Source organism: Homo sapiens, chromosome 6, assembly GCF_000001405.40.
Source record: "Homo sapiens chromosome 6, GRCh38.p14 Primary Assembly".
In the NCBI taxonomy this organism is placed as follows: Eukaryota; Metazoa; Chordata; class Mammalia; order Primates; family Hominidae; genus Homo; species Homo sapiens.
The window spans coordinates 169,690,874-169,702,122 of NC_000006.12; the positions used below are offsets into that span (position 1 = coordinate 169,690,874).

The 11,249-nt window shown below is 46.6% G+C and overlaps 1 protein-coding gene across 29 annotated transcripts in view, besides 3 other annotated features; it reads right to left on the reverse strand.

The window, feature by feature from the left end:
• WDR27 (WD repeat domain 27) overlaps positions 1–11,156 on the reverse strand; it is a 275,610-nt gene extending 264,454 nt beyond the window's left edge. For all 29 annotated transcript variants that reach the window (XR_007059231.1, NR_146875.2, XR_007059230.1 and 26 more), the window contains exon 1: positions 10,678–11,156. The gene's annotated coding sequence lies outside the window, so the exon portion shown is untranslated. The remainder of the gene's footprint in view (positions 1–10,677) is intronic.
• Positions 1,754–2,254: an enhancer, noted in NCBI's record as "H3K4me1 hESC enhancer chr6:170092723-170093223 (GRCh37/hg19 assembly coordinates)". NCBI's record gives its function as "activates a minimal SCP1, AML or CMV promoter by ChIP-STARR-seq in naive H9 embryonic stem cells {active_cell/tissue: H9 hESC(naive)}" and the evidence as "EXISTENCE:reporter gene assay evidence [ECO:0000049][PMID:30033119]".
• Positions 10,710–10,789: an enhancer, noted in NCBI's record as "active region_25464". NCBI's record gives its function as "activates an Ori minimal core promoter by ATAC-STARR-seq in GM12878 lymphoblastoid cells {active_cell/tissue: GM12878}" and the evidence as "EXISTENCE:reporter gene assay evidence [ECO:0000049][PMID:35858748]".
• Positions 11,110–11,199: an enhancer, noted in NCBI's record as "active region_25465". NCBI's record gives its function as "activates an Ori minimal core promoter by ATAC-STARR-seq in GM12878 lymphoblastoid cells {active_cell/tissue: GM12878}" and the evidence as "EXISTENCE:reporter gene assay evidence [ECO:0000049][PMID:35858748]".

Consider the following 11,249-nt stretch of genomic DNA (forward strand, 5'->3'; position numbering starts at 1 on the left):
AGAAGTGAAGCAAAGGAGAATGGACCACTCGAGATCATCTTCTGAAAATACTTCAAAAGAGGCCGGGCACGGTCGCTCACGCCTGTAATCCCAGCACTTTGGGAGGCCGAGGCGGGCGGATCACGAGGTCAGGAGATCGAGACCATCCTGGCTAACACGGTGAAACCCTGTCTCTACTAAAAATACAAAAAATTAGCAGGGTGTGGTGGCGGGCACCTGTGGTCCCAGCTACTCAAGAGGCTGAGGCAGGAGAATGGCGTGAACCTGGGAGGCAGAGCTTGCAGTGAGCCGAGATCGCGCCACTGCATTCCAGCCTGGGCAACAGAGCGAGACTCTGTCTCAAAAAAATTAAATTAAATTAAATTTTAAAAAAACGTAATTTTTAAAGGCTTGAAAATTCTCAATATTTGGAGAAAAACAAAATAAAAGCATGTGTACATTATTTTAAAGCAAATTTGTCTCCAATTCACAATTTTTATCTCACTTTTTTTTTAATATTTGCAAAGATACTTTGAGTGTCATATGAAAATAGCTACACCTTCCAAAGCTACCACAGTTACTCAGTAGACTCTGTAACTTGAGCATGGCAGTAGGTGCTGGGCAGATGTGTCCTAAGGGAACAATACGAACCTGCTGTCACCAGATCCACTGCTTCCCAAAACATAAAACATCTTCGGAGACAGATGAAGAATACATAAAAAATTATAGTTGTTTCAAAAATGCTAATAATACACTCATCAAATTGTGATTGAGTTCCATCTTTTTCTTCAACATAAACTTTTGTTGTAGTATAATTATCTTATTCTCTTCTGTAATTCCTATAGAATTCAGCAGCATTTTACAAATAATAGTACTTGTATGCCAATTTGCAGTTTACAAACCACTTCTGTAGACATTAATAAGCAGGTTTCTATATATGAGTACATAGATTATCATTATTACAGTGACCCTTTAAAGTGGTTAGGCAAGAAGACGGCAGCTAGGAGACAGGACTAATGTGCATCTCCCACTAGGATGGACTGAAAGGCATGTGGATACTCATACTGTGAAGTTTTGTTCCAAGAACCACTGCAGGAATGTACCAAAAAAAATGAAAGAATTCACAGATCCTTTTAAAGAAGCAGCAGGCCACTGCAAATTCCATGAGACAGGCAAAAAACTGTGAGTTCCCAAAATGTGAGAGGGGGGAAAACTGCCTCCAAACACCCCCACTGGGGAATCTAAAAATCAATATCACAGGAGAAGGATGTAACCTTACCTAGAGCTGAAGCATATTTAGGCAGCCAAGCGAAATATAAAAGTAGAAGCAGCAGTGAGAAGAGCCTTGTAGGCACTCCTAGTCTCCAGCTCCAGTCCAGGGAAGCCATCCCTGACTGTATCTCATAGGGGTCCTCCCTCAGAAAAGACAGCCAGAGGAATTAGGGAGAGGTCATAGGGTGAAAGAAGCTTCCAACTGAATTATGTGATAATTTAGACTGGGCATGAACTTCCTTGAGCAGAATCAGGAGTGGGTAAAAGGGAAGTGCTACAGATATGAGCACAGGAGCTGCCAACACTGTGGACAGATGGGGAGGGGCAAGACCTGAAAGCCAGCCATGCTCGTTTTCTCAGTGCAGAACTTATGGCCATGCTCGTTTTCTCAGTGCAGAACTTATGGCCTGGGGCAGGGCTGAGTCCCACACACAGGCTGTCTGCATCTAAACCTGGTGCTGTTAGCTGGGCACTGTGGGAGCAAGACCAGCTTCACAAACTGCATGGGAGCTGGGTGAGGCCTTTCACTACCGGCTTTCCCCCACTTCCCTGGCAACCTATGTGATGCGTCAGACACAGCCACAATCCCCTCTGGAACATAACTCCATTGGCCCAAGAACCACTCCCACGTCTCCCACAGCAGCTGCAGCAAGCCCTGCCCAGGGAGACTCTGAGCCCAGATCCACCTAACCCTGCCCCCATCTGATGGTTTGTCTCTACCCACCCTGGTAGCCAAACACAAAAGACATAAACTCTTGGGAACCCTAAGGCCCTGCTCATCACCTGAGAAACCAGAATGCCTCCCCTCGCCAACTTAGGGAAAGCTTATATACCCCTTCTAACACAGCAGCTGATATTCTCTCGAAGAACTCCTGAGAAATTCATCACAAAATGATTATGACCTGGGTACAGTCATCTGGTTATCTAAAGTCAGGAAGAATGAAAGAATCTTTAGAGCTGTGAGACAAAAGCATCAGGTAATCTATAAAGGAAAACCTATCAGATTAACAGCTGACTTCTCAGCAGAAAATTTACAAGCCAGTAGGGATTGGGGTCATATCTTTACCCTCCTTAAACAAAATGATTGTCAGCTAAGAATTTTGTATCCAGCAAAATTAAGCTTCACAAATGAAGGAAAGATAAAGTCTTTTTAGACAAATGCTGAGAGAATTTGCCACTACCAAGCTAGCACTACAAGAAATGGTAAAAGGAGTTCTAAATCTTGAAACAAAACCTTGAAATACACCAAAAAAGAACCTCCTTAAAACGTAAATCTCACAGGCCCTTAAACAATAACACAATGAAAAAAGGGTATTTAGGCAGGAACTAACATAATGAATAGAGCAGTACCCCACAGCTCAATACTAACGCTGAATGTAAATGGTCTAAGTGCTCCACTGGAAAGATACAAAATGGCAGAATGGATAAAAATACACCAATCAAGTATCTGGTGTCTTCAAGAGACTCATGTAACACATAAGAACTCACATAAACTTAAGGTAAAGGAGAGGAAAAAGATATTCCACACAAATGGAAACAAAAAGCAAGCAGGAAAAGCTATTCTTACATAGGACAAAACAAATAGACTTGAAAGCAACAAGTTTAAAAAAAAAAAGACAAAGAGGGACATTATACAATGATAAAAGGATTAGTCCAATAGGAAAATATCACAATCCTAAATATATACACACCTAACACAGAAGCTCCCAACTTCATAAAACAATTATGACTAGACCTAAGAAATGACATAGCAACACAATAATACTGGGGAATTTCAATACTCCACTGACAGCACTAGAAAGGTCATCAGAACAGAAAGTTAACAAAGAAAGAATGGACTTAAACTACACCGTAGAACAAATAAAATTAACATGTATTTGTGCCTTGTTAAATGTAACAGTCATGCCGGGCGCAGTGGCTCACATCTGTAATCCCAGCACTTTGGGAGGCCGAGGTGGGCAGATCACAAGGTCAGGAGTTTGAGACCATCCTGACCAACATGGTGAAACCCCCTCTCTACTAAAAATACAAAAATTAGCCGGGCGTGGTGGCAGACGCCTGTAAGCCCAGCTACTCAGGAGGCTGAGGCAGGAGTATCATCATTTTAACCTGGGAGGCTGAGTATGCAGTGAGCCGAGATTGCGCTGTTGCATTCCAGCCTGGGTGACAAAAGCGAAACTTTGTCTCAAAAAAATAAATAAATAAATAAGTCATCAACGCACGCACACAGAAACATTTCCACATACACTGCTGGTAAAAGAATAAACTGACATAAACTTAACTATCTGGCAATCAAAAATTCTACTTTTATAAATTTATAACAAGTAAATCATTCTACCTTTCCCAAATGTATTTCTTCAAGGCTGTCCATCATAACATTGATTATAATATGAAATGTAGCAACGGTTCTTACATTGAGTGGAATACAATGCAGATGTTTTAAAAAATAACATTGAAAAATAAGTTTACTTCATGTCTCAGAAGAGAAAGCAAGCTCAACCTAATCCAATGGAGAGAAAAGGAGTTTAATATGTAATTAAACAGTTATAGCACATGACTGGCTACAGCAGCTTCACCGACACCGTCAGGACGGCCCCCTGGTCTCCCCAACCCTCAGCTCCACCTGTCTAGGTGCTGCTCATTGTCTGTTCCTATGCAGTGGCAAAAAGATGGGCGGCAGCACCTGAGTGTGGCCTCCCACCGTTGCAGGGCGCTGCGGAAGAAAGCATCTCTTTCCATTGATCCTTGAACATTTCTCATGAGTCTGGGCCAGTCTGAGACACTTTCCATGTTTGAATTAATCACGTAATCAGAAGGATGAAATGATGCCAAGAAGTCAGGCCTGGGACAGAGACCTCTCCACTGAGTCCCGGCCAGCAGAGGGAGAAGGGTGGTAGCCCAGAGGAAATCCAGGTGCTTTTGCCCAAACAGGATGTGGATGCTAAGACAACAAAAATAGTAATGCTTAGAAGTATAAAAATATCAAGAAGGGTAAACAAAAACTTTAATGGAATAAATATTTACAAATTTAAAACTTCTATTTTTCAAAAGATCATTGGTGCTGGAGCCTAAGAGCAGGGTTTAAACAAATGGACACCACATGTTATTTCTGAGCTAGGACCGATGGAAGCCAGTACGGGTTGGTTGCTGAAGAGGAATTTGAGGAATCAGGAGTGGCTCCTAGCTTTCTGGCCTGAACAACAAGAGACCCCACTTACTGAGCTGGGGAAGAACAGGTTTGGCAGGGGAGAAGCATAGATTCCGTTTTGGATACGTTATGTCAAATGCTGAAACATCAACTGTGGCTTCCTCTAGGCATTGCACCAAAATTTCTTTCAAGTAACTGTGGAAGAAACAGACATCGCTTCTCTAATCCACAGTGTGTCCATTTTAGAGGGTAACACTCAGAAAGCCATCTTGTTTCTCTCATTTCTAAATGATTACAGAGCACCCAGTGTTGCCCTTTTGCACCAATTACATAAAATAGTACCTATGAGCTGAATGGTGAGGAGTCTAAATACCCCGGGGCACGGTGGTGACAGAGTAACACTCTCCCTAAGATGTCTGCATGCTAATCCCCAGAACCTCTGCAAACATTAGGCTACACAGCCAAGGGAATTGAGGTTACTAATCAGATGGGCTTCAGAAGAGAGATTATCCTGGATTCTCTGGGTATATTCAATTTAAATACTTTCCTTAACTAAGCTAGAGAGAGAAGAGTTGGGATGATGATGCACTGTGAGAAGGACTCAACCTGCTGTGGTTACCGGCTCTCAAGACAGAAAAAGGACCCAGGAGCTGAGGCCTGTGGTGGCCCTAGAAGCTGGAAAAGGCACAGAAAGGAGTTTTCACCCAAAGACTCTGGAAGGAGCCAGCCCCAATGCCACCCTGATTTTAGCAGTTTGAGACCCATTTTGGATTTGTGACCTCCAGAACCGTAAGATAATCCATTTGCGCTGTTTTAAACCACCAAATCTGCATTAGTTTGTCACAGCAGAATTAACAAACGAATACAAGTGCCTACAAAATGAAAACTGTAGAAACGAAATGACAATTCCCTGCATACGTCTACACAGTGATCTGTGTCCTATCGGGACTGAACCCTGAAGTAAGACTAGAACAAGCAATCAACAGCAAGAGTCCAGGGTGACCCAAGGGTTGAGATGGTGCTAGGAGATCTTGGGAAGAATGGCGCAGTGAAGCTTACGAGGAAGAAGTTAAGGTATGGGCAGTTGTGAAGCAAGAGATCACATACACACATGCATGCACACACACAAAATCTCACACCTGTATACACACATGCACACAAAGAATCCCACACATGCACCCAAACGTGCACACACATGTATGCCTGCACACATATAAAAAGCTGTCCGATCAAAACGGGTTTGGTGAAAGGTTTGGGGTCAGAGAGCCCACGGTCATAGGAGAAAGACAATCCGAAGACCTGAAGACCTCTTCCATGCCTGAAGCACAGGACCCCTTCATGTCTTAAAAACAAAAGCAGACGCCGGGCACAGTGGCTCACGCCTGTATTCCCAGCACTTTGGGAGGCTGAGGCGGGTGGATCACGAGGTCAGGAGTTCAAGAACCAGCCTGGCCAACATAGTGAAGCCCCATCTCTACTAAAAATACAAAAATTAGCTGGGCATGGTGGCACGTGCCTGTAGTCCCAGCTACTTGGAAGGCTGAGGCGGGAGAATCACTTGAACCCGGGAGGCGGAGGTTGTTGTGAGCCAAGATTGTGCCACTGCACTCCAGCCTGCACGACAGAGCGAGACCCTGTCTCAAAAACAAACAAAAGCAAAAACAACAAAAACCTATCTCCTGACACCCAACGTCTGATATCACTGGAATTATTTCCAAAATAAAGACAGTGTGGGCGGCAAGCCACCCAGGTGCCGAGGCAAGAGACCGAGGACACGAGCTGTTCCAGTATAATAAAATATAAAATCAGAACGGTTATACCAGATATAGATCTTAGATATGATTACATATGAATATCATTAATCATTAGTTTGTAGCAATTACTCTTTATTCCAATATTATAATAATACTCGCTCTATAATCATAACCTAGGAAAAACCAGGCCACACAGAGATAGGAGCTGAGGGGACATAGTGAGGAGTGACCAGAAGACCAGAGTGCGAGCCTTCTGTTATGCCCAGACAGGACCACCAGAGGGCTCCTTGGTCTAGCGGTAACGCCAGCATCTGGGAAGATGCTCTTTGCCAGGTGGACCGAGGTCTAGCGGTAGCCTCAGTGTCAAGGAAAAACACCTGCTACTTAGCAGACCGGGAAAGGGAATCTCCCTTTCTCCCGGAGAGTTTAGAGAAGACTCTACTCCTCTACCTCTTGTGGAGGGCCCGACATCAGTCAGGCTCGCCCACTGTAATCCGGAGGCCTAACCATCTCCGTGATGCTGTGCTTCAGTGGTCACGCTCCTAGTCCGCCTTCAGGTTCCATCCGGTACACCTGGCTCTGCCTTCTAGATAGCAGTAGCAAAATTAGTGAAAGTACTAAAAGTCTCTAATAAGCAGAAATAACGGTGTAAGTTGTTTCTCTCTGTCTCCTCTCTCTGCCTTGGCTGCCAGGCAGGGAAGGGCCCCCTGTCCAGTGGACACGTGACCCACATGGCCTTACCTATGGCCACTCTCCTTATCCTGCCCCTTTGTCTTGTATCCAATAAATATCAGTGCAGCCTGGCATTTGGGGCCACTACCGGTCTCCGTGACTTGGTGGTAGTGGTCCCCCGGGCCCAGCTGTCTTTTATCTCTTTGTCTTGTGTCTTTATTTCTACACTCGTCCCCGCGCACGGGGAGAGACCCACTGACCCTGCGGGCTGGTCCCTACAGGCAGAATATGAATGTGCTTGCATTTCCTGATGAGTGCATAGTAAAGAAATAACACCATGACTCACTAGTATGAAGAGTTCACAGAAACAATGGTGTGAAGCCAAGGAGGGAAGGAAGCCTTGTCAGGACACATAAGCCACCTTGACGAGGAAGCACCAGCCTGCACTCAGAATTTCTGGGTCAGTCTGGCCCCAGTGTGCACGAGCTGATGTCCCACCTCTCCAGCTGCCCAACACCTCTGTTCCTCAGTGTTCTCAGCTTCAATGCCTACCTCTGCCTCAGTGTATTCGGCTTCAATGCCTACCTCTGCCTCAGTGTACTCGGCTTTAATGCCTACCTCTCCTGCCTCTCCTGCTCCATGGCAGGGTGGTACAGACAGGGATGAGGGAGGGTCTGGTGCAGGCAGAAACATCGTCAGGGACACACCGACACACACACACACATACACACACGTGTCCACGTCGAGAACATGAGTCCAGGGCAGCTAACTGAAGTGCAACCTATCCTCCCATTGAACAGAGGTCAGATGGCCCCTAAAATCATTTGTGTAAAAAGTTATTTTTCTATATGTTAAAATATTCATTTTTCTATTTCTGTGGTCTGGCAGTTTTCCCCAAGCTCTTTCTGCTTCTTCCCTGGAGCCACTAAGAACATGGCTGGACCACATTTCCAGCCTCTGAAGTCGAGGGCAGCCGTGCACCAATTTCTGGTCTGGAAAGCACACCATGCATGCACAGGCTTGGTCCTGTCACAGCCCGTGCACAGCCCTTCATGCTGGAGGCGGAGGGCTCCAAAGGCTGAGGAGAGGGGCCACGGTGGTGGCACCTGGCAGCCTGTGCTGCTCCCACTAAAGGGTGATCAGGACACCAGGCTGGACTGTTGTGTAAGCAAGAGAGAAACATTTAGTGCATGAAGCTGAGGTCACTTCTGTCAGCCTACCTTGACTGATGTGGGTACCTTGAAGCAGGATGCTTCAGTGACACTGTAGGATGTTGCTGAGTGACTGAGTGATGGGGCACAGAAACAAATTCAGGAGGGGAAAAGCTCAAGACTCACGTTAGGCAGTGACAAACAGGTTCAACTGCAACAACCTGTAATAACGCAGAAAACTTACCACAGGCTTACTCTCCTGCAGCCCTACAGGAAATTATTGCAAAGAATACGCATTAGCAGCCAACACACGGAATTGGACTAGAGAACTGGCTGGTGTGCAAGCGGAATGGACACGAAAAGAAAGTACGAAGAGCAGGGGCTGCAGCACTGGGAAACCTGAGTGCCCTGAGAGGCTGCAGGGAGGGACAAAGGACCATCAGGTCTTGGCCCTTCAGCAAAGATCTGACCTAGGATGGCTACCTTCCCACTCAAGCCTTTGTTCCACATAACCTCAGGGTATCAGCTGCCCAGGAGACCAAAAGAAAATAAAGTCAGGCTTGAACAGTAGACACAGGAAGAACGACAATGGCATCACCAGCACACAGAGCTGACGAGATACACACAGACCAGAAGCTGCTGTGCTCGTGAGGACACGATGAAGCCTAAGAAGTATCAAGCAAAGAACAGAGTAAGGGCACACGGTGGGCTCAGGGCTGACTGCCTGGTCCCCACTGCCATGCTCCAGGAGTGAGCTATGGCAGCCTTCCAAGACAGCATCCTCATAGCCACATCAGATGAGACCGTGGAGGAAAAGGACTAAGGGTAGAATCAAGGGCCTCAGCAAACAAGCCAGGCACAGTGGCTCACATCTGCAATCCCAGCACTTTGTGGGGCCGAGGCAGAAGGATCACTTGAGCCCAGGAGTTCAAGACCAGCCTGGGCAACATAGTGAGACCCTGTCTCTACTTTAAAAAAAAAAAGTAGTCAGGTGTGGCAGTGCATGCTTGTAGCCCCAGCTGCTGGGGAGGCTGAGGTGGGAGGATCGTTTGAGCCACGGAGGTTGAAGCTATAGTGAGCTGTGATTGTGCCACTCTACTTCAACCTGGACAACAGTGACATCCTGTCTCAAAGGAAAGAAAAAGAACAATGGACAAGGGAATTCCTCCCAGATAGCAGAATCAGGGTCTAGTTGGGAAATTCCTCCCACCTCCACCCCAGCATCACTTCAAAACTGCTATAGACCAGTGTCTGCCATGTGTCTCCCTTTTCCAAAAGGGAGATGGTTACAAAAACCATGGTCATATTTAACCACTGCATTTTAGTGGGGAGAGCAACTAGTTTGTCTTCTTAGTCCATAGGGCTCTGGACCACGAGGAACCACAGCCAGGCCTGATGGAGAGAACTGTGCAATCCTGAGAAATGTTCTGTGTTGCACTAGGCACCTTGACAAAGTGTCCCCCTTGGGGTGGGGAGAGTGTGTTCTCCATGTGGGATCAAGAGTGGAGCAGAGATCTGGTCACCAGAAGAGAGACTACGGTAAGTGCTGTTCCTTTTCCACTAAGCCACTTCCCTTTCCTTCTAGACACAGAACTAAACTACACTCCCTAGCTTCCCTTGCAATTAAGTGCAGCCATGTAGTCGTTGAGTGCCTGGCCCATAAATTCCTCCTGCACTGCCTCTCTTCTTTCCCCACCCACTGGCTAAATGCGGAGAATTCAGAGGGCCTAAGGAAAAAAACCACAACATGGAAGAATTTTAGGCTGCAGCTTGCAGAGAGCTGCCCAAAGGAATCGTCTGACTAGAAACCGCTACACAGGACTGTGTGAGCAAGAAACATGCAACTGTTCTATTGGGGTGAATTGCTACAGCACTTAACCTACCTCCACTAATATAAATTGTTTAACATTTTTTTGAATTACAAAAGCAATACAATACAAAACATTTAAACAATGCAGAAATAATAAAGTTTTTTATCCCTACCTCCTCTCCCTGCTGTGCCAACCCTAGGGGATAATCAATGTCACAGGATATCCCCAGGAATATCCATGTACATACATGCACAGAACAAGTCAGGGAAAATAAACTAAATTTATTATTTTAGTGAGATTCTAGTGCACCTAACACTAGGTAAGCACTTCAGGAAAAGGCAGTGACAAGTGATTGCTAAAGATACCATAGTCTTAAAGTTAAGTCAGTAAACACAAGATAGTAATCCCAGATAAACTGGAAGCTGTAGAGTTAATACTCCTTTACTGGTACAGAGCAGTGTGTGTAAATTGTAGAAAATTTAGAAATACATAAAAAGATGAAAACTCTACTACTCGAGGAGTACCACTGATAAAATCCTGTGCATTTCCGTTTTTTTAATGTACATACGAATATTTTTAAAAAGAGAAAATTACTCCCTTCTGATTAGAAAAGATCGAAATTTTTCTCTTTTAGTGATAATCAAGTCAGAAACTTGCTGTTTGGCTCGAGTTAGGAAAACCTAGCCTGGTAGTTACCACGCAGGTTGAAAGGCCAGTGGGGCATAATTAACGAGCCCTCAGGGTCCACGCTCCCGCCCTCGGAGCTCAGAACCGACGGGAGGTGCAGGAGGCCGGGCATTTCTACAGCCCTGGTTCGTTCCTAAACTACTGAATCTTTTAAAGAGATCTGAGTGCTCCTTATACACAGCTGCTTTAATTAAAATAACCACCTGAGCCCTTTTCCTCCGAACTCCACATGCGCTCAGTTCTCAAAGCGCCGATCTCAAGCGGCCGCCCGGATGCTCCGGCCCGACTTGTGCCCCGAATTCCCCTGGAGACCCTCGCACTAGCACGGCGTCAGGAGGAGGCTTCGGGTGACGAGACAGCGGGCAACGGCTCTGGTCCAGAGCGCGCGTGTCCGCCGTTGGAAGCGGTCACGGCGGAACCCTCAAATCGCCCCCTTTCCTAGAGACCTCAGCGGAGCCGCGAGCAACCGCGCAGCCCCCGCGCTCCAGCCCTGCGCCCTAGGCACACGCCCCAGAGCAGCAGCTCGGGTTCGGCGCCGACTCCGCGCCGAGACCAGCCCGCTAGGGGAGGACTCACAGCACCCAGCTCCCAGGAGGGCACGCAGAGGACTACCGAGCCACACTCCGCCCCACGCTCGCCGCTATGGTTACTTGCCAGCCGACCCACGCGAGCCGCTATGGTTACTAGCCCGCCGCCCCTCGCGCCCACGCCCCTTTCGCTATCTCGCGACAGCTGGAGAAGCCTCGCTTCCGGCCGGCTCACTTACGGACCTAGC